The sequence below is a fragment of the Homo sapiens genome, chromosome 11 (assembly GCF_000001405.40).
Source record: "Homo sapiens chromosome 11, GRCh38.p14 Primary Assembly".
In the NCBI taxonomy this organism is placed as follows: Eukaryota; Metazoa; Chordata; class Mammalia; order Primates; family Hominidae; genus Homo; species Homo sapiens.
In genome coordinates, this window is record NC_000011.10 from 117,068,291 (window position 1) to 117,092,746 (window position 24,456).

The 24,456-nt window shown below is 40.6% G+C and overlaps 1 protein-coding gene and 1 long non-coding RNA gene across 16 annotated transcripts in view; both read right to left on the reverse strand.

Annotated features, from left to right (window-relative positions):
* SIK3 (SIK family kinase 3) overlaps positions 1–24,456 on the reverse strand; it is a 255,027-nt gene that overhangs the window by 224,889 nt on the left and 5,682 nt on the right. The window lies entirely within an intron of this gene.
* Positions 8,103–20,488, reverse strand: LOC124902763 (uncharacterized). Its single transcript, XR_007062899.1, has 2 exons — positions 16,784–20,488; positions 8,103–16,701 (listed from the first exon to the last, which is right to left on the reverse strand). It is a non-coding gene; the product is annotated as an uncharacterized LOC124902763 (long non-coding RNA).

Consider the following 24,456-nt stretch of genomic DNA (forward strand, 5'->3'; position numbering starts at 1 on the left):
CCATCCTACCCATCAAAAATATCTTCTGTTCCCCAATCCAAATTCATCTATTCTCCACCAAACATAGTATTTTCTCTCCCTGGAATGCTATCCCCATATTACTGTCAGCAATTCAACTTTCAATGTTGTTTAAAGATGATCCGAACATCCACTGGCCTAATAAAAAATGTCTTTGTGGTCTGGCATGATGGCTCATGCCTGTAAACCTAGCACTTTGCGAGGCCAAAGTAGGAGGGTCACTTGAGCCCAGGAGTTTGAAACCAGCCTGGGCAATATAGCGAGACCCTATCTCTAAAGTAATACAAAAATTAGCTGGACAGGTGGCGCATGCCTGTAGTCCCAGCTACTCAGGCAGCTGAGCCCAGGAGGCTGAGGCTGCAGCGAGCCCAAGCGGTTGAGGCCACAGTGAGCCATAAATGCACCACTGCACTCCAAACTGGGTGACAGAGTGAGACCCTGTTTCAAAAGAAAAGCCTTTGGTTATTCCTAACCCAAAATGTTCTTTCCTTTCTCTAGAATTTCTTATGTTTGGCCAGAACTATAAAATATGACATATAATTTTAAACCACATTTTCCTATTCTCTAATTATGTTTTGCTTTTTAAATCTTATTTCTTCACCTATAAGGAGGAAGAGCCTTAAAGATGGGTAGTATGACTCCTACCCTGTTGTAACTTACCACACTGCTGGGAAAATAGCAGGGCTTGTTCTCTCAGTGATGCTGCACTACAGATAGATTGAAACTTAAGGGGATGGAAATCTAAACTGCATTCCCATTTGGAAACATCAGCATGAATCTATGGCTTTACTTGCCCATCTAAAATTAGAGAGAAAGAAGATAAAGGGGTAGGCTTGACAATTCTGCCAGTTCTGGTAGTTGTTAAGATTTTTTTTTGGGGGGGGGGGGGTTTGTTGTTGTTATTTTATGGAAATTTTCAAACATATATATAAGTAGAAAGAAATAATACAATGTGCCTCTTGTACCCATCAGCCAGCTTAGACAGTTATAAATAAATACATGGCCATTTTATCTATACTGCTGACCACTTCTTCCTTTCCCCCAGCAAATCTCAGACACATTCCGTCATCCATATGTATTTCAGTATATATTTCTAAAAGGTAAGTACTTTTTGTCTGCAATATGACCACCATACTACTGCCCCATCTGAAGAGAATAATTCCTTAACATCAGATACCCAGTCAATGTTCAAACTGCCCCAATTATCATATAAGTTTTTTAGCAACTGGTTTGTTCAAATCACCATCTAGAATTATTTCAGAGGGAAATAACGGTTTCCTTGTCTCCTGCTCTGTGGTCTTTTACCCCTTCAATTTCATATACTTACCTTCTTAATTTTTAAGTGTAGGCAAAAGAGCATTTCCTTCCCCCAGTACCCTCTATTCTCCTTCTTAATAAAGAATATATCCCTTCTATTTCCAATATTGAAGTTTGCCATTACCTCAGAGCTTTTAGCACATTCAGAAAAACATTTAAGTCAATCACACAGCCTCCCTCCTTCACATTTAAGTCGCCACATTCATTTACTACTCAGGAAGAGTTTTGATCTCTAACATCATAAAATGTAAATAATGTTGGCCCATTAAAAGATTATTTTCTATTTCTAAAAATCTTTATGAGAAATTCGATTTTGATCTTTAAGTTATTACATTCTCCGCTTCCCATTTTAGGTGAGTTACTTTTAACACTTCATGAACTAAGGCATAGTGATAGGGCATTTAAGCCCAAAAGATTACAACATGCTACTAAGAGATCAACATTAGCTTAGCTCTATTCCTTAGTCATGAAATGCATCCCTCATTATAATGTCACAAGGAGAACTAGATGAGAAGCTATGCAATGGTAACCTCAAATACAACCCCTTCACTAGAAAACAATATAAATGCAAATAGTGAATCAGTAAGGTCATTTCCACTCATTTTTAGCACAGATTAACAGAAGCAGATAACAAATATTAGGCAAACAACTAGAAGGAATTTTTTTAAAGGGATAATCTACCAGGCATGGTCGCTACTGCCTGTAATCCCAGCTACTCAGGAAGCTAAGATAAGAAGATCACTTGAGCCCAGTAATTCAAGGCTGCAGTGAGCCATGATTGTGCCACTTTACTCCAGCCTGGATGACTGAACAATACCTTTTTTTTTTTTTCTTTTTTGAGACAGAGTTTCACTCTTGTCGCCCAGGCTGGAGTGCAATGGCACGATCTCGGCTCACTGCAACCTCCATCTCCTGGGTTCAAGAGATTCTCCTGCCTCAGCCTCCTCAGTAGTTGGGATGACAGGCGCCCGCCATCACACGAGCTAATTTTTGTATTTTTAGTAGAGACAGGGTTTCGCCATGTTGGCCAGGCTGGTCTCGAACTCCTGACCTCAGGTGATCCACCCGCCTCTGCCTTCCAAAGTGCTGGGGTTACAGGTGTGAGCCACTGCGCCCGGCCCTTTTTCTTTTTTTTTTTTTTTTTGTGACGAAGTTTCACTCGTGTTGCCCACACTGGAGTACAATGGTGCGATCTCAGCTCACCACAACCTCCGCCTCCCGGGTTCGAGCAATTCTCCTGTCTCAGCCTCCCTAGTAGCTGGGATTACAGGCCCCCGCCACCACACCTGGCTAACTTTTTGTCTTTTTAGTAGAGACGGGGTTTCACCATGTTGGCCAGGTGATCCACCCACGTCGGCCTCCCAAAGTGCTGAGATTACAAGCGTGAGCCACTGCGGCCAGCCCAATACCATTTCAAAAAAGAAACATAAAATAAAACAAAATAGAAAATAAACTAAAAAGCAAGGCATTATCTCATCACTACTTCTAAGTCCCAAGAGCTACTAGTAACTTCAACATTCAGCAGGGCAGACTGAAATCAAAACCTTTGGGCTCAGTATTGCAAAAAAAAAAAAAATAACATGACAGTCTCTGTCCTTAAGGAACTATACTCTAGCCAGTAAAACAAGATATTTAAACAATTAGCCCACAGTATAAGAAATTATATCAATAAATGCTAAATTGTATGAATCAGATTTAAAGTAGCATAGGTCAAAGGGATAGGTTTGCAAGGGCCAAAGAAGTCAAAGGACTACATGAAGATCGGGCTTCCACTGAACCTTGAAGGCAGGGCAGACTAGATAAGTAACACTAGGATAAACTGCAAGCTCATAAGGACAGAGGCCATGCCTCTCTCTCTTGCTTACCAACGAATCCCAATGTCTGGCACAGTGCCTAGAACACAGTGACACTCAAATATTTGTAGATGAAACAGAAGGATAAATAGAAGGAAGAAGGGGAAGAAGAAGGGAGGGGAAAAGAGAAATTCCAAGAGTTGTTGTTTTGTTTTGTAAGACAGGGTCTCGCTCTGTCCTCCAGGCTGGAATGCAGTGGTTTGATCATGTTCACTGCAGCCTCAACCTCCCAGGCTCAAGCAATCCTCTCACTTTGCCTATTGAGTAGCTGGGACTACAGATGTGTGCCACCATGCTTGGTTAATTTTTTTTTTTTTTTTTTTTTTTCAGGAGAGAGAGAATCTCCCTATGTTGACCAGGCTGGTCTAGAACTCAAGGAATCCTCCCACCTCAGCCTTCCAAAGTACCGGGATTACAGGTGTGAGCCACCACACCCAGCCAAGAGTTGTGTTTGTTTGTTTGTTTTAATGAAAGATTAAATGTGGCAATATAATGAGGCAGTGAGGAAACACACACTGGTGAAAAATAAGGTAAAACAGGTAGAATTAACTCAAATCACTGATGGTTTTAAAGTTCGCCAAATGAGGTTTAATATTTAATCTCAAATACTAAAATGACTATATCCACAGCCAGGCGTGGTGGCTCACACCTGTAATCCCAGCACTTTGGGAGGCCAAGGTGGGCAGATCACCAGAGGTCAGGAGTTCGAGACCAGCCTGGCCAACATGGCAAAACCCCATCTCCACAAAAAATACAAAAATTAGCCAGGCCTGGTGGCATGTGCCTGTAATCCCAGCTACCAGCGAGGCTGAGGTAGGAGAATCGCTTGAACCAGGGAGGCAGAAATTGCAGTGAGCCCAGATCATGCCACGGCACTCCAGCCTGCACAAGAGCAAAACTCCGTCTCAAAAAAAATAAAAATAAAAATAAAAATAAAATAACATGACTGTGTCCAAAAAGCATATTGTTACATTTCCACTTTTAAAAACTACTAACTAAAAGTGTAAACAGCTATTTTCACTAAGATAGCTATTCATCTTTTAATATCATCGGGCAAACCTGGAAAATGTGCTAACATTTCTCCAGAGGCGAACCCATACCACTCGCTAATACATATGAAAGATTTTGTCCCTAATATTTTTACTATCTGAAAATGTGAATGGGTTATCACTAAGGTCATCCTCTTTGGTAGTTGTGTAATCAAATGGCTGAGGCTTACCACAATTAAGGCAAGAGACAAGAGAATGTAACCCAGCAGAAAGCCAGTGACTAATGCTGAGTCACAGTTTCCAAGTGATTATTTAACCAAAATGTCAACCTCTCATACTAACAATTCCCTACAATGGTGGCTGAAAGTAGATCAAAGGTATTATCCAAAAAGTATACATCAGTATTTTGCAGGATAATGCTAAGGGATTGAGGCCAGTAAAGTCTAGTTGGACCTAGCATTTATAAGCCCAAATTTGCTAAGTCAAGGAGATTCTTACCTCCTCAAACTTTACAGTGGGAGAAGAATTCATGATTATGTTGATCTCAGTATACTTGGATCCTCCAGATAACACCCTCTTGCCAAAAAGTTCCAGGTCCTGGCTACTACCAGCTACAGTCTTTAGTGGCAGCTATATAATCTCAATATAGAAGGACTTTAGAAAGAAAAACCTAATGAGGGAAGGGAGCATTGGAAATTTTATCTTAAGGCTCTACATATGCACAGCAAGTGCATTACTTAAATTATATACACATTCATCATGAGTTTGCGAGCTCTCAACATCTCCAATGCTCATTTTCCTTAGCATTCCTTCTACTCTTTCAGCCCAAATCATCCATAACAGACAAGTTGTCTGGTTACATGCTAACACTCATCCATACTCATACTTTCTGGTTATGTACAGCTGTGATTAGAATTCTACTGTCCAATTTTGATGCCTAATACCTGGTATCGTGGAAAGAACAAGAGCCCTGGAGTCATATAGACCTACTTATAAATCTCAGCTCTACCACTTACAAGGTAAAGAACTTTGGACAAGTTACCTAAGTGAAGCTCATTTTTCTCAATAGAAATTAGGTAAAACAATAGTTACTTTGTAAAAAGCTGTTGAAGGCTAGCAAGAATTATATGAAGTATACAGAACATAGGAGGCACTTAGCATACAGCAATTAAGATGGAAGTCTATTGACCAGACCTACACACAGGTTTCCAAATAGTATTAACTATATAATGAAAGCATGAATCAGCTTCACACGTCCTTGTCTCTCTACTCCCAGTTGTAAGATGACTTAACTGCTCCTCCGGAGGAAGAAGGCTGTTTCTCAGTCCTCAGTCTTAAGCCAAAATTGACTAACATTACAGTTATCTCCTTACCATTAACATGTTTGCTACCACAGCTGCTAAGAAAATTTTATGTTTTCACTATGGCCTATGTTCTTGTTTTATGGTCTTGACCAATATTTTTAAGAGACAGGGTCTTGCTCTGTTGCCAAGGCTAGAATGCAGTGGCACAATCATAATTCACTGCAGCCCTGAACTCCTGGGCTCCTACCTTATCCTTCCTAGTAGCCCAGCCTCCTTAGCAAATCGTGAATGCTGTTTCACTCTCAGTCTATTCTAGGGAGCTCTGACAGTCCCCAGCTTCTCCAGAACTACCACTCTTTGGCTTACCATACTACTGTACTCCAAGATGGCAATCAAACCATAGTGCTCTGCCAGTGCCTAAGTGCCTTTATGTCCCTGTAACAGGCTGATGTCCAGTTCCACTTACTCCTAGCAAACAGGATCCCAATTTCTAGAATGACAGATACATCCCTATCTCAAGCTTGCCCCACCTAGGTCTACTTCCTCTTATTTTCCCACCCCCACTTCCCTACAGCCCCACAACAGTATATGTATTTTGGGTAAAGTAGACAGATACTCAAATAGGAGTCAGAAGACCTTGGTTCTACCTCTACTTCTGCCACTTTACTAGTTATGAAGTGATAAAATGTTGTACTTACCTTACAGGAAGGCTCAAATAGACATTTATGAACATGTTCTATAGATGTATTATTATTATAAGTATAGCAAGTTTCTATTATGACAATATTTACTTGTCAATATAAAACCCTAACATATTTTTTTAAATCCTCTAGCATTGTTTTATTAGCAACAGCTTAGAAACAACTCAAGGCCAGGCGTGGTGGCTCACGCCTGTAATCCCAGCACTTTGGGAGGCCCAGGCAGGAGGATTCCCTGAGGTCAGGAGTTTGGGACCAGTCTAGCCAACATGGTGAAACCCTGTCTCTACTAAAAATACAAAAAAAAATTAGCCAGGTGTGGTGGCATGAGCCTGTAATCCCAGCTACTGAGGGGACTGAGGCAGGGAAATTGCTTGAACCAGGGAGGTGGAGGTTGCAGTGAGTCAAGATCGCGCCATTGCACTCCAGCCTGGGTGACAGAGAGAGACTCCGTCTCAAAACAAAAAAAAAAAACAACTCAAATGAAATATCTAAAAAATATATATAATACATCCTTTCATTGGAATACCACGTAGCTTTTTTAACATTAGATACGAGAGTGAAAAAAGTAAGATGCAGACTATTGTATATTATTTACTATAATTTGTGTTAAAAGAGGAAATAAGTAGTAGATATTTACATTTACTTCTATACACATAAACTATCTCAAGACATATAAGACACAGATAATATCAACTGCCCCTGGGAAGGGAAATCTGGATGATCATGGGGTATGTGTGAACAGGATACTTTTCACTGTATTTCACTCTTCTTTAGCTTTTATGATTTTGAACCTAATAGTTCCCTAAATGGGGTAGGCATAGCATCTCCTCATACAACTATAAACCTGAGAAATAAGCTGAACCATTAATGAGGATGACAGCATATCTGACAACTCATTTCCTGGGCCAGCCTCAAACTCACAATTACCACCACCTAAAACAAATTACATTCCCTTCCATGATCTCACCAAGTAACAAGAGTTAATTTATTCCTTCTAGGCAAACTTCCTGACTTGCTATACGTATCTATGTGCTATGTATATCCACATTCTATGTTATTGATTATTTTTTTTTCTTTTTTTTTTTTTTTGAGGAATCTCAGCTCTGCTGCCCAGGCTGGAGTGCAGTGGCACGATCTCGGCTCACTGCAAGCTCCGCCTCCCAGGTTCACGCCATTCTCCTGCTTCAGCCTCCCAAGGAGCTGGGACTACAGGTGCCCGCCACCACACCTGGCTAATTTTTTTTTTATTTTTAGTAGAGATGGGGTTTCACAGTGTTAGCCAAGATGGTCTCGATCTCCTGACCTTATGATCTGCCCACATTGGCTCCCAAAGTGCTGGGATTATAGGCGTGAGCCACCAAGCCTGGCTTTTTTTTTTTTTTTTTTTTTTTTTTGAGACAGTTTTTTGCTCTTGTTGCCCAGGCTGGAGTGCAATGCACGATCTCGGCTCACTGCAACCTCCACCTCCTGGGTTCAAGCAATTCTCCTGCCTCAGCCTCTCTAGTAGCTGGGATTACAGGCGCCTGCCACCATGGCTGGCTAATTTTTGCATATTTAGTAGAGACGGGGTTTCACCATGTTGGCCAGGCTGGTCTCCAACTCCTGATCTTAGGTGATCCACCCACCACAGCCTCCCAAAGTGCTGGGATTACAGGTGTGAGCCACTGCACCCGGCCAGTTACTGATACTCGTAAAACTTACCGTTGCAGGGTTCCATCACAAGCCTTGGAAGAGCTCTCTAAATCAGAACACTTCCTACCTTCAGGGCCTGTTGAGGATCCATTCCAATGCTAACTTTTCTGAACCAAGGACTGAGTTCTCCCTCTTAATCACTCAAGATTCACCACAGGACCCCAGCAAATCATTAATTTGAACTCCAATGATTAAATGAGCACAATGCAGACCATCCCCCTATTTACAGAAGAGTAAATTATGTTAATTTCTTCAATTTAGCAGAAAGGCATTCTTCCGAAACCTTTCAGAACAACTGTTATTTACCAATTTACCAAGGCAACATTCTCCCAAAATAAAATTTTAAATGATATTGCCTTAAACACAATTTTTTTTTTTTCGAGATGGAGTCTCACTCTGTCACCCAGGCTGCAGTGCAGTGGCGCGATCTTGGCTCACTGCAACCTCCACCTCCCGGGTTCAAGCAATTCTCTGCCTCAGACTCCCAAGTAGCTGGGATTACAGGCACCCGCTAATTACCATACCCGGCTAATTTTTGTATTTTTATTTTGTATTTTTAGTAGAGACGGGGTTTCACCATATTGGCCAGGCTGGTCTTGAACTCCTGACCTCATGATCCACCCGCCTCGGCCTCCCAAAGTACTGAGATTACAGGCATGAGCCACTGCACCCGGCTGCCTTAAACATAATTTTAATTATTCTGGAATGAGACCAGGTGTGGCTGCTCATGCCTATAATTCCAGTGCTTTGGAAGGCCAAGGTAGGATAACTGCTTCAGGCCAGGAGTTTGAGACCAGCCTAGGCAACAAACCGAGACACTGTCTATACTAAAAATAAAACCACTAGCCAAGTGCAATGGTGTGTGTCTGTAGTCCTAGCTATTCAGGAAACTGAGATGGGAGGATCACTTGAGCCCAGGAGTTTGAGGTGACTGTGAGCTACAATCACACCACACTGCACTCTGGCCTGGTCAACAGAGCAAGACCCTGTCTCTAAACAAAACCAAAAAACCATTCTGGAATGACATGACAGGACATGAAACACTGCTCAAAACAGCAGCTAATGCTACCTCCATTCTTGCTCCCTATGGCAAGCAGGTTATTTTTGGACCTAGCCTATGAAGCAGCACTTTGTTGACTATGAGCTTCATCCTCTGAATATTCCTTTCACATTCAACCTTGGTCCTCGCTTTCTGGTGCCGAGCTCCAAAACCTCAATGGAATACATAATGAAATGTTGGGTTACTTTAGGGCAAAAGGTTAAGCCTACAAAAGCTTTCTAATTGGGAAATCTCTTCCATGAAAGCATACAGAAATTTGCTGACTCTTTCTTTTCCTAATAGCTATTTGCTTTCTTTGGAAAAAATCTTCAGTCAAACACAAAAGCCAACTACCTAGCAAAGCTCAAATACAGACAGGTGTTTTGCAAGCACAGTAAATCTCAAGGGTAACAAATCAACAAGAGATAATATCTACTAATAAGCTGCTTATTGCTGTGCTGGGAGAGTTAACTGCCTAAAAATCTCTCAGTTAAGACTAGCATTGAGGAAAAAAAAAATTGTAATACAACTAAAAGAAAAACAAGCTCATTTTCTACCCAGAGAAAATGTGCAAAGGGAAGAACCCCTGTAAGTCAACTATTCTGCTACATAAAAACCTTTTATTCCAGAGTTATTTTCAGTGTCACTTAATTCCAGGGTGGAGACTAAGGGTCCCAAACAAACCTGTGTGTGTATGTGTGTATTTTTCTAGCTTAATAATTCTAAAATCCACGGTTAGGCTTTTTCAGGAAAGTCTGAAAGTCACAAAACCCCTATTATGCTCTTTGAGAACAGAATGGGTAATCATGTGAAAATACATTTGTAAATTAGCAGTTATTTAGAATAAACAATTTCAATTGCAAAGAAAGCAAGGATTTTATCACATTAGGCATGCCTTGTTCCATTAGCTCAGTTCCCTAGACCTTAAACTTCTCTGATGCTCACAAGACCCTGAAGTTGGTTCCTACATGAGAAAGACATTACAGAAAATCCCAAGAGAATGCTGTATTTCAGAGTTTAAGAATTTCTGATGTTCTACAGAGAAAGGAGGCTACACTAAAGAATAAGAAAGTGATTATTCAGCAATGTTATCTGAACTTAATGCAAGTCACATCCAATGAATCAGTCAAATACTGCATGCCACAGGAAGGTAACGTGTCATGCACAAGGTGGGAGGATCAAGGTGGCTAAACTGAAATCTGCATAACACCTTTTTTTTTTTTTTTTTTTTGAGACGGAGTCTTGCTTTGTCACCCAGCTGTAGTGCAGTGGCATGATCTTGGCTCACTGCAACCTCCACCTCCCTGGTTAAGCAAGTCTCCTGCCTCAGCCTCCCAAGTAGCTGGGATTACAGGCCCAGCTAATTTTTTTGTATTTTTAGTAGAGATGGGGTTTCACCATGTTGGCCAGACTGGTCTCAAACTCCTGACCTCAGGCAATCCGCCCGCCTTGGCCTCCCAAAGTGCTGGGATTATAGGCGTGAGCCACCACACCCGGCCTGAGAATTGTCATATTTTTAATTAAATTAAATTAAAATTGTCATATTTTTAATTTAACCCGAAATCTGCAAAACACTTTTAAGTAATGTCTTTTCCACTATCTGCTTCGACATCAGTGGGGTGCCAACACAATCATCTCGATACCTTTTCTGCCACCTACCCCTCTGTGTATTTTGCATTAGAAAACTGTGAGAAAAATGTTGCTTTTCTAGAAATGCCCAAAGTTATAAAATGAGAGTTTTTTAAAAGACACTAAAGAGGTCATGCCAGAATTAAGTATGATATCCTAAAAAAAAAAAAACTCTTTACACCAAATAACACCCCAAAAATCATTTCTGCTTTGCAGGCTGACTTTCAGAATGGATTAAGTGTTTAATTGTTAAGTTAAATGAATGTTTCCAAAGGTATAGCAAAAAGTTTAATAAAGGAGATTATAGAGCTTCCCAAACTGTGGTATAATATATTTAAGAGTGCTTAAAGCTGGCCTCCCAAATATACTTTAAGTTGTATAAAGCTATCATAATTAAAGCTGTACAGTATCAAAGCAAGAAAAGACAGCACACTCAATGGATTAGAATTCAGAAATGTACCTAAGTATCTATTGGAGTTTTGTAAATGATAGTGTTGCTTTTTAAATCAAGAAGGAAAAGAGCAATTATGCAATTAATTGTGTCAGGAGAAGCTAGAGACCTGGAGAAAAACCTAGACTCATTTATTCAATAAATGGAGGGTGTATTACAAGGCAAGCATTGTGCTAGACACTGAAAATAAGAGCAAGGGAAAAACAAAACAACACAATACATTGCCCTCATGAGACTTACAGTCAAGTAGGAATAAGCCATTAATAATCACAAAAATAAATGTAAATTTACAACTCTAATAAATTCTACAACTCATCCCCTATCTCATTTGGTTTATATCAAAATGCATTTCACATGAAGCAAAGATTTACATTTAAAAACAAAACCATAAAAGTAGTTGAAAAAAATGGGTAAATATTTTTATATAATTAGAATTTTAAAAAGCAAGCCATAAAGAGAAAAAAAAACAGAAAAATCTGACTATAAAAATAAAAGCATTTTCATTTTATATTAGACACACACACAAAGTCAAAAGACAAAGAAAAATATCAGTAATATATTTTATAAGGTAACTAATTTCCCTAATATTAAAAAGCTATTACAGGCCAGGCACAGCAGCTCATGCCTGTAATCCCAGCATTTTGGGAGGCTGAGACATGAGAACCATTTGAATTTGGGAGGCAGAGGTTTCAGAGAGCCAAGATTGCACCACTGTACTCCAGCCTGGGTGACAGAGTGAGACTCCAACTCAATTTTTTTAAAACATTAATAATAATAATAAAGCTATGACAACTGATGAATAAGAAAAAGCCAAAAGCCCAACAGAAAAGTAGACAAAGCAGAAAGACAACCAACAGACAAATTAAATGATGCTCGAATGTACTAATAAGTAACTACAAATAATAAAATGACATTTTTTCACCTGTCAGATTAATTCCCTAAAAAGGCTATTTGCCAGGGTTAAAAAGAACAGAAAAATCACTGTCATACACTCTCAAGCTGAGTGAATTGGCATGGCCTTACTTGGAGGGTGATGTGGCAACATCTTACATGATTTTAAGCACTCATACTTTGATCCAAGCATTCCACTTCTAGTAAATTATTCTATACAATTACCAAGAAAATGAAGACTCTGGCTTTAAAAGAAGATCAGAACATTGTATATATCATGATGGAAAAGAATACATAACTTTTGAGACGTTGACTCTAGGTCACACTAAATAAAATTCTTTTATTTTTTAAAATAAGTCTACGTGTTTTGAATAGTAAATACTGCAATAGCAAATAAATGGAATAGAAAAAAAAACCACTAGCACAAGTGTGCAAATATAAATGTGCAGAAACAACTTACGTAAAATTTGTAATTAAAACAATAAAATCTGGGCTGGGCACGCTGACTCACACCTGTAATCCCAGCACTTTGGGAGGCTGAGGCAGGGGGATCACTCAAGGCCAGGAGTTCGTGACCAGCCAAGCCAACATGGTGAAACCCCGTCTCTACTAAAAATACAAAAATTAGCTGGGTGTGGTGGCGCGCACCTGTAATCCCAGCTACTTGGGAGGCTGAGGTGGGAGAATCACTCGAATCTGGGAGGCAGAAGTTGCAGTGAGCCAAGATCATGCCATTGCACTCCAGCATGGGTGACAGAGAAACTCTGTCTCAAAAAAATAAAACAATATCTAGAAACAACCCTAAAATCTATCAATAGGCTACTATGTAAAGTATAGTATATCCATAAAATAGAATACTCTGCAGCCATTAAAATGATTGAGACAAGGACAAAGTGTACTGACATGGAATAATGTTGGAGATATACTATTAAATGAAAAAACAAGTGGCAAACTAGATTGTGGTATGTTCCCTTTTTTAATTAAAAAAAATTTTTACCATGTGAATGGGGAAAAAATCTGGTTATAAATAGTTAATGTTTTCTCTGGAGAGATGAGGAACTTTCACTTTCTTTGTTATACATTTTGTAAGGTTTGATTATTTTGTAAGACACATGTATTAGAGAGGCAAATACATAGACAGATGTTTTTAAAGTCTTTGAGGCTAGAGGCCGGGCGCAGTGGCTCACACCTGTAATCACAGCACTTTGGAAGGCCGAGGCAGGCGGATCACAAGGTCAGGAGATCAAGACCATCCTGGCTAACACGGTGAAACCCCGTCTCTACTAAAAATTACAAAAGATTAGCCGGGCGTGATGGCAGGTACCTGTAGTCCCAGCTACTCAGGAGGCTGAGGCAGGAGAATGGCATGAACCTGGGAGGCGGAGCTTGCAGTGAGCCGAGATGGCGCCACTGCACTCCAGCGTGGGCGACAGAGCGAGACTCCGTCTCAAAATAAATAAATTAATCAAAAAAATAAAGTCTTTGAGGCTAGAAAACGTCCCGGGAAAGAGAGAGCTATATGAACATGGGAGAAAGTACAGAATGAGCACAGAGGAAAATAATCTCAATAAAACATATAGTTTCAGAGTTTAAACAACTATATAAATTAAGAAACTAGAGAATCAAAATTAAAGACACTTGTGCTGCAAACAACACTACCAAGAAACTGAAAAGACAACCCACAGAATGGCAGAAAATATTTGTAAATCATGTATCCGATAAGGGACTTGTATCCCAAACATAAAGAACTCTTACAACTCAGCAATAAAAAGACAAATAATCCAATTCAAAAATGGGCAAAGGATGTTAATAGACATTTCTCCAAAGGAAATATACAAATGATCAACTGGCACATGAAATGATGCTCACTACCATTGTTCATTAGGGAAATGTAGATCAAAACCACAATGCAATACTTCTTCACATCCACTAGGATGGCTAAAATCAAAAAAAAGAAAATAAGTTTTGGATGTAGACAGAACAGAAACCCTCATACATTGCAGGTAAGAATATAAAATGGGGCAGCTACTGTGGAAAACAGTTTGGAAGTTGCTCAAAACCTTAAACAAGGAGTCACCACATGACCAAGCGATTCCACTCCTAGGTATATGCCCAAGAAAAAAATGAAAACATGATCACACAGAAATTTGTACACAAATGTTCAAGACCATATTATTCATAATCGCCAATAAGTAGAAACAATGCCCACCAATTCATGAATTGATTTTAAAAATGTGGCGTATCCATACAACATAATATTATTCAGCCATAAAAAAATAATGAGATTCCAACATATGTAAGAACATGCATGAACCTTGAAGGCATTACACCAAGTGAAAGAAGTAAAATACAACAGGACACCCACTGCATAATTCTATTTATATGAAGTGTCCAGATGACGTAAATCGATAAAAATTAATTTGTGGTTGCTTAGGGCTGAGAAGAGAGGTTGAAGAAATAAGCAGTGACTGCTAATGGGTACCATGCTTCTTTTAAGGATAATGAAAATGTTCTAAAATGTATTATAGTGATGGTCGCACAGCTCCATGAATACACTTAAAAAAAATTGGGTGAACTGTATGGTCTGTGAAATGTACCTCAATAAAGCAGTTGAAAAAATTATAAATTAAAGAGAAACTGGAAGCCCCCTGAGGTTAAGTAATTTGCCCAAAGTCAAACTGCTGGCTAGTAAAAACTGGAACCAGAAACATCCCGATTCCCGCACCAGTCTCAGTTCTTTAACTACAGATTGTCGCAAGCAACTCTGATGGGCCAAAAAGGTTCCACAAAGAGCTGGAAAAACAGAAAACCTATTCTTATCCTGGTATCAGGATAAGAAAAGGAAGAGAAATTTAGGTAATGCAACTAAATTTTGGTTTTCAAAATTTAATGTGACTCCAAAATGGATGCGTGGCCTAAAAATCTAACAACCATTGATGTAACCTCACTGCTATACGAGGTTGTGACTTGGTATAACAATACCCCTTTTACTAAGAGCTCAATTAGAGCAGGGCACTGGATGCAGCTGCTGCCTCAAAAGAAAGGAGGAAAATGAGATCGGAAGAGGCAGTAGGCTAAAATCACTGGCTACCCTTTTGCATGGTCAAAGGCCAATGAGTAACATGCTTCAAACAAGTTATTTTATTCCTGAGAACTGTGAAATCCTTTAAAGAGATCCTAAAGTACCATCCCAACATTTAATTACCTCCCAGAATTACCATACACATGTAAGATATTTAGGTATAATATATGAAAGTGTTGTTTCTGCAGCTGACTTGGACCCAAAGATCATTGCCAGAATACAACTACCCCATTTGACTAGAATAACAATATCCCTGTTGATGTAGAAATGGAAAGTAAGCCAAGAACATACAATCACTAAAAACATTATTTTGAGAGTTTAAAAAAATGAAGTACCAAAAAAATTCAACTATTGTCGGAATGCTGCTTATGCAATATTAGAACATTCTAACAGAAGGAAAAGACAACAGGAGGCAAGAAGCAGAAAGAGAGAAGAAATCCTGCAGGTGTCCAACTCATCCTAATAAGAAACACACAGCTCTGCTCCTGTCTTCCACAATAAAAACAGTTCTGTTTCTTGCAGCATATGAACCAAGATTGCTTCCGCCAGAAACAGAAAACAACTTACTACAAGAAAATGTCAACTTGTTCCACAGAACACTACACTAGCAGTGAACAGATATAAACCTCTTAAACTAAAGAGTTTGGCCAGTTTCTTCACCAAGTTTTTAATACCACTGACTCATTACCAAATTCAGCTCAGTTCACACAAATTCTAACATAAGTGGACAAAAATACCACCTCGAAGTACACACTATAAATAATAAAAGATTCTATAAAATAACTTGTCCTCAAATTTCTAACAGCTTTGACTTCTTTATCATTTTAAATTAACGCAGAAGCTCTCTTAGCCCACCTTCACTCAACCAACCTGCCAAAATAATCAATGCTTCTCCTTGTCTCAGTAAAGCAACCAATGCCCCCAACATGCAAACTGGCCCCAACTAATAACAGCTGTCTCTTACTCTTATAAGCTTCTGCTGCTCCCATTATTAAGTTTTTTGGTTTTTTTGTGGTTGGTTTGTTTGAGATGGAGTCTCGCTCTGTGGCCCAGGCTGCAGTACAGTGGCAGGATCTTGGCTCACTGCAACCTCTGCCTCCCAGGTTCAAGCAATTCTCCTGCCTCAGACCTCTCGAGTAGCTAGGATTACAGGCATGCACCAACACACCCAGCTAATTTTTGTATTTTTAGTAGAGACAGGGTTTCACCAGGTTGGCCAGGCTGGTCTGGAACTCCTGACCTCAGGTGATCCGCCTGCCTGGGCCTCCCAAAGTGCTGCAATTACAGGCATGAGCCACCGCGCCGGGCCCAGCCTCCCGTTATTAAGTTATATTCTTACCAATAATTAACTGTTTTTTTCCCAAACCTATTTATACCAGTTGCTCATTATTACAGTTATGTAATTTAATTAAATAGAATGTAAACTGATGAAAAATTAAGGAGATACGTTTCTATGAAAACTTCATCAAATGCTTAAAAAGACATAGTAAATTAGACGTGAATGAGATGAGTATAAAAGACTGGGAAGGAGTCATAAAAATCAAGAGGGATGCTGTACTAATATTGCTTCACAAATGCCATTAAATTCATGTTCTGCTTTAAAAAGCAAACAAAACTGGAAATTATAGATAATGAATTATGGGTGTATTTAATGGAAACAAAATTAAGGAACTCCAACTAGGGCACACAAAGAAAAAGCCTTGGCCCTGCATCAACAGGTTAACAAAATATTAACCTATGTTAACAAACATTAATATTTAATATTAACAAAAAACATTAATGTTTGTTAACATAGGTTAAGATATTTTGATATTAACCTATGTGCTAATCAATCTTTCTTTCTTTCTTTTCTCTCTCTTTTCTTTCTTTCCTTTTTAGAGACAGGGTCTCTGTCACACAGGCTGGAATGCAGTGGCGCAACCATAGTTTACTGCACTGTAATCTGGAACTCCTGGGCTCAAGCAATCCTCCCAGCTCAACCTCCCAAGTAGCTAGAACTACAGCCACTTACCACCATCCACCGCTCACTTATTTTTATTTTTTGGTAGAGATGGGGCCTCACTACTACCGTGCTGCTCAGGCTGGTTTTGAACTAGCTAGCCTCAAGCGATCCACCTACCTAGACCTCCCAAAGTGCTGGGATGGCAGGCATGAACCACCATACCCAGCCCTGGGGTTTGGTTTTGTTTGTTTGTTTAAAGAATCTTCATCTATTTAGAGATACATGCCAAAATATCTACCGATGAAATGAAAGGATTCTGGGATATGCTTCAAAATCCAGGAAAAAAGCGGGGAAGTGGGAAAGGTATAAATGCAAGATTGGTCACAAGATGACAACTGTTTAAACTAGGCGACAGGCACATAGGGGTTCATTATATTATTCCCTCTACTTTCATTTATGTTTGAAATTTTCCACAATACATACTTTTTAAAAGAGTAATGCATGAGCCAGGCATGGTGGCTCATGCCTGTAAGCCTAGCACTTTAGGAGACCGAAGCAGGCGAACTGCCTGAGCTCAGGAATTCGAGACCATCCTGGCCAACATGGCGAAACCCCATCTCTACAAAAAATACAAAAATTGGCCGGGCATGGTGGCATGTGCCTATAGTCCCAGCTACTCAGGAGGCAGAGGTTGCAGTGAGCCGAGATCATGCCACTGCACTTCCAGCCTGGGCGACAGAGCAAGACTCCGTCTACATAAAAAAGAAAAACCAAAAAAAGATTAATGCATGAATATATATTTCTGATTTTCCTGCTTTATCAGTTTTTCCCCTCAATTAACTAAGCACATCATAACCAAAACTTACTGTATAGGAGGGCTTCTATTGGAGATAAAAGAAAAGCAGTTACCACCAAATGTCCAAAACACAGATAATTCCACAGTCATAACCCCACAACATACTAAGCACAATATCCTATATGGCCCAATTACCCTTGAAAATCTCTTAACCCATAAAGTACAATGCACACAGCAAATTTAAACATGATAGGACTGCTGCATTACCATATTTATTCATATAACTTTCTCCTTCACAATCTCCTTGACTATCTTTTCACCATTAAAACGAGGGAGGAGCAATTTACAACTTTTATTAATCTCTGAAATTCTCACGCTGGTTTACCAAAAAATAGTTATTTAAAAATCAATGGTAGGCTGGGTGCAGTGGCTCACGCCTATAATCCCAGCACTCTGGGAGGCCGAGGCGAGTGGATCACGAGGTAGGAGTTCAAGACCACCCTGGCCAGCATGGTGAAACCCCGTCTCTACTAAAAATACAAAAAAATTAGCCGGGTGTGGTGGTGGGCGCCCGTAGTCCCAGCTACCTGGGAGGCTGAGGCAGGAGAATCTCTTGAACCCAGGAGGCAGAGGTTGCAGTGAGCAGAGACTGCGCCACTGCACTCCAGCCTGGGTGACAGAGTGAGACTCCGTCTCAAAAAAAAAAAAAGTCAGTGGAGAGGCAAGGTGCAATGGCTCACTCCTGTAATCCCAGCACTTTGGGAGGTCGAGGCAGGTGGATCACAAAGTCAGGAGTTGGAGAGCAGCCTGACTAACACGGTGAAACCCCGTCTCTACTAAAAATACAAAAATTAGCCAGGTGTGGTGGCACGTGCCTGTAATCCTAGCTACTGAGGAGGCTGAGGCAGGGGAATCACTTGAACCGGAGAGGCAGAGGTTGCAGTGAGCCAAGATCACGCCATTGTACTCCAGCCTGGACAACAGAGCGAGACTCCATCTCAAAAAAAAAAAAAAAAAAAATCAATGGTTTGGGTGATCAAGAGTCTGTTTCTCATTAACCTTTCTTCTTCCCTTCAGCAATTTCTCCAGTTTGGGTTTTTGTCCCTTTATCAAAGATCAGGAGAGAATGATGATTTATAAAAAGCAAGTAAAAGGTGAGACTTGGCCGGGTGCGGTGGCTCATGCCTGTAATACCACCACTCTGAGAGGCTGGGGGCGGGGGGTGGATTACTTGAGGTCAGGAGTTCAAGACCAGCCTGGCCAACATGGTGAAACCCATCTCTACTAAAAATACAAAAATTAGCCAGGCGTGGCTATGGGCACCTGTAATCCCAGCTACTAGGGAAGCTGAGGCAAGAGAATCGCTTGAACCCAGGAGGCGGAGGTTGCAGTGAGCCGAGATCGCACCATTGCACTCCAGCCTGGGTGACAGAGCAAGACTCTGCCTCAAAAAAAGGTTAGATTTACACTTGAATTCTTGTCATTCCTCTTCCAGGTTTGGTACAGGGAAAGATGGATTACACAGCTGCTATAACCTTCTCCTGACTTGTACTATATCTATGGGACTAGGTTTAGAGGTGTAGTAGAGACTTAAAAGCCCTACACCCCCAAGCCAACAAAGGCAGATGGGGAGACAGATAAGATAAAGAGAGCCAGTGTGGCTTGCAGTGAGCCAAGCCTGCTCATACACTGCTCAGGAGGTTAATTCTAGTGCAGCCTTTCTGGAAAGCAATGTGGCAATATACATATTAGGTGCCGTACAAGCATGTGTTCCCTTTGGCACGGTAATTTCCCTTTCAACAATATATCCGGAGCAAAAAATCAGAAGTACATCAAAGACTTGTGCACAACAATGGTTATCACAGAAAATTTGTAAAGTGAAAAACTAGAAATAAAATTATAAAAAAGATTCAAAAAATAACAGCAATGTTATGGTAAAGTAAAACTGATGTTGGCCAGGCGTGATGGCTCACACCCGTAATCCCAACACTTCGGGAAGCCAAAGAGGGAGGATCATTTGAGCCCAGGAGTTCAAGACCAGCCTAGCAACATAGCAAGACCCCCATCTCTACTAAAAATAAAATTTTTTAAAATTAGCTGGGCATGGTGGCATGCACCTGTAGTCCCAGGTACTCAGGAGGCTGAAGTAGAAGGATGACTTGAACCTAGGAGGTGGAGGCTGCAGAGAGCCATGATCACATCACTGCACTCCAGCCTTAGGTGACAAAGCGAAACCCTATCTCAAAAATATAAAAACAAAAAACAAAAAACTAAGGGATTTGAATTCAAATTGCAAGACTTACTTTAGATACACTGATCTTCCTAATAGTAAAAGTTTGAGATATGCCAAAAATCAATTACTAGCCCAGAAAAGCTGTGAAATCTCCTTACTCGGAGATTTGTGAGAAAAAGGTAGAAAATTACTTTTCTTTAACATCTTAACTATAGATAGGAAATTCCAATAGTAAAAGTCAAAAGATGTATTAAGGGTATAAAAACAAACTCAGCTCTTATTTTTAATCCTTATATTCATGTACTCAATGAATATCTGCAGACATTGCACGAAACATAAGGAATACAGCAGTGAATAACAGATTAAAATTCCGGCCCCCACAGGGCTTACATTAGATTATCACACTGTGCCATCCTAATGAGCAGTATAAGTTAGGTTAGGTATTTTTCTTTGGTCCTTTTTTATTTGAGAAGTGCTCTGGCTCTGTTGCCCAGGCTGGAGTTCAGTGGTGCGATCATAGCTCACAGAAACCTTGACCTCCTGGGCTCAAGCGATCCTCCCACCTCAGCCTCCTGAGTAGCTGGGACCACAGGCATGCACCACCACACCCCTGGTTATTTTTATTATTATTATTTGCAGAGATAAGGTCTCACTATGTTGCCCAGGCTGGTCTCCAACTCTGGGGCTCAAGTGATCCTCCTGCCTCAGCCTCCCAAAGTGCTGGGATTACAGGCGTGAACCACTGCATCTGGCCAGGTATTTTCTTTTTTTACTTTTAAGTAAAATTATGCTTGGAAATTTCAAGTATGTCAAAGCACTGTCAGAAAATAAACGGCATCTAGCACTTGGACTAATCCAGAGATGCCCTTAATAAATGTTTATAAGAGTAAGAAGCTGGCCGGGCGCGGTGGCTCACGCCTGTAATCCCAGCACTTTGGGAGGCTGAGGCGGGCAGATCACGAGGTCAGGAAATCGAGACCAGCCTGGCTAACACATGGTGAAACGCCGTCTCTACTAAAAATACAAAAAATTAGCTGGGCGTGGCGGCAGGCGCCTGTAGTCCCAACTACTCTGGAGGCTGAGACAGGAGAACGGCGTGAACCCGAGAGGTGGAGCTTGCAGTGAGCCAAGATCGCGCCACTGCACTCCAGCCTGGGCAACAGAGTGAGACTCCGTCTCAAAAAAAAAAAAAAAAGACTAAGAAACTGTGTGACTCAGGTATTGGGGTGGCAAGAAGACTTCATTTCACTGAATGCTCCTTTGTACCTTTTGAATTTTGGGCCATATATCATCCATTTCTATTTCTGATAATTTTGCACGTTTATTGGATGGATGGATGGAATAAAAAATTTCTTCTCCAAAAAATTCCGTCTCAAGAAATGTGGGCAACTAACCTACATTTTCACATTCAATTCTGGGGGGAGCTATGAAAAGTAAAGTATACTGCTGGTAAACATGCGCTGGAGCTGAAACTAGACAGAAATTTGATAATTTTTCAGAACTTCATCAAAACCTAAATTTAGTTTAAAATAACTGGCCGAAAGTATCCAACTGAGTGAGCTCAGCCCACACAGACAAGCTTCAACAGGCAATGAGTCTGCTTCTCTTTCCGTTTCAACTTCTGGGAAATGTGGCTAAGTATTCACAATCTGATTCCTACCTCTTTGAAAAGCCTAAGTCTGAGATAAAATACCATCAGTGTCCAGAGGCTCCTTGTCTACCACGGATCACACACCTGCTAAACACAAATATGTTCCTAACATAACTTACTGATGGCTCATCCAACAGTTCCGTACTCGCTTCCGCAATTCTATTCTGAACAGATCCAAAAGAAGTCTTTCAAGCTAATTCATTCAAGACTGTTGAGACTTCTCAAGGACATTGCCTACGCCATTTATTTAGCAATATTTTATTAGATTAGGATAAAAGCCCATTTGAATGTATATAATTTTCACCCTCTTGATGTTATCAGTCATCCACGGGACTGTATGACTACATTATTATCCCAGAAAGGGACCAAGCTACTCGCTATTAGGAGGAACCAGGGACTCACCTACCTGATAGGTGAGATCATTCATCTGGAGAACAGCCATAGCCCACAGACCAGAAACTAGAACTATATTAAGAAGAATTCCTTCTTGTGTTTACTTAGGATAATGAAAAAAAAAAAAAAGAGGAACCCTTGATATAAATGGTTCTCTTGACCCTCACCTGTGTCATCAAGGTATATATCTAGATGACCAGTTCTCTTAATGAGTTATAAGATGTCACCATCCCTGGAAAGTGTTAGTCATTTAGTAAGTGAGGAGCCCATCTAAGAAACATACCCTCAAAGGTAGATCAGACCAGCCCAGCAGAACAAATGTATAATTACCAATATTCCCTAGGAGTTAGCTAGATATAATGACATGAGAAAACTACGTAAGGCAGACTACTTTTACGGTCATTGCATGCTGTGTTTACTTCTTTCCCTTTTCATTTTCTTCATATCTCAGTCATGCCAAGGGGCATCTGACTAGCAGATTTAAAGGCAAAGCAGTGGACCCATAGGGTACTAAAAGTTAGTGGCAAAGGTGACAGAGTGGTATAATGCCAAAGGACAGGTGAAATACAGGGTTGGAATATTTACTCTTCCTCTCTACTCGGAAATGTTTCCTCTCATCATGACATCTCGCTTTTGGTTTGTCTTATAGAAAGGATAAATATCTTAGACTTTAATTGGTATAGGTGTATCTCGCTTCCCCAGTAAAAAAGCAAGTGCTCAGAAGGCAAGGGCACTGTTTTCTGTGATTAGAGAAGTCAGGGTAGAATTAAGTAGGAGTAGTGATAACTGGATTCTAACTCCAGCTCCCCCACTAACTACCTATAAGACTCCGGGAAAATGGGAGTGAGGAGAGAGATGAGCCATGAATCTAATGGATAATTGGTCTAAATGACTTTAAAAGTCCGTAAAATCCTGAGGTTTTTTTTTTCTTTTTTTTTTTTTTTTTTTTTGAGACGGAGTTTCACTCTTGTTGCCCAGGCTGGAGTGCGACGGCACGATCTCGGCTCACTGCAACCTCTGCCTCCTGGGTTCAAGCAATTCTCCTGCCTCAGCCTCCCAAGTAGCTGGGATTACAGGCATGTACCACCACGCCTGGCTAATTTTTTGTATTTTTAGTAAAAACAGGGTTTCGCCATGTTAGCCAGGCTGGTCTCGAACTCCTGACCTCAGGTGATCCACCTGCCTCAGCCTCCCAAAGTGCTGGAATTACAGGCGTGAGCCACCATGCCAGGCAAAACCTGAGATTATAAATTCTGTTAAGTCTGTCTTTCCAGACTGTGGAGAAGACAGAACTAGAATAGAACCTCTCTAAGGTCTTTTTCATGCCCAATAAATCAACAAATACTTGTTAGTTGATCATGCTTAATTTATGTGCAATTTATGTCAATATTCCTCTACAGTGAGAAAGAATATAAGTTGTTAAAACTGAACTCCTCCCTTGTGCCAAGAAATGCATCAGAAAAGGATTCTTGCTCTTAACCATAAAATAACCAGCATGAGTTGCTGTTTTTCTTTTGGTTTGTTTTCCTGAGACAGGGTTTCACTCTGTCACCCAGGCTGGGATACAATGGTGTGTCCATAGTTCACCACAGCCTCAGACTCCCAGGATCAAGTGATCCTCCCGCCTCCACCTCCCAAGTAGCTGAGGCTACAGGTGCGCACCACCACACCCAGCTAATTTTTAAATTGTTTGTAGAGATGGGATCTCACTATGTTGCCCAGGCTGGTCTTGAACTCCTGGCCTCAAGTGATCCTCCTGCCTCATGCCCCCCCAAAGCACTGGAATTACAGGCATGAGCCACCACATCCAGCCACGTTTTAAAAACATAAATTAGGTGATATTAGTGTTCTGCTTGATACTCTCTGATGTCACCCCCGTGTCACACCCAATTCCATAAAATGGCCATAAGACCCAGATGATCTGGCCCCTCCTACATGTCTGGCCTCATCTTTTCCCATCCTTCCACTTGTTTGCTAAGGTACCATGGCATCATGACCTTGTGTCTAATCTTTGACCAAACCAAACTCACTTCTGCCCCATGGCCTTTGCACATGCCATTCCTTCTGTAAGGAATCTTCTGTCTTCCAAATCTTCCCAGGTTGGCTTTTTCTCATCACTCAGGTCTCAGCTCAAATATCATCATCTTGGAAAGAAAGGTCTTCCCTGACCACTCTATCTGAGGCAGCAGCCCCCCCCAGGGATTCTCTAGTCCGTTTATTTTCTTCCTGGTATTCATTCCTATATGAAATTTTTAATTTTTTTACATGTCCCTTGTCTGTCTCCTTCTACTAGAAAGCTCCAGAAAGGCAGATGCTTTTTGTCTCCCTTGTTCATTGGTGCACTCCAGACCCTAGAATGGAACCTGACAAAAAATTTTCATTCAATAAATGTGTTGAATGAATAAATGATTAAGGGAAAGGTTCCATCTCTATGCAGATGTCTTAGGTGTTGTTTTACAGTTACAGTGGCTCTGG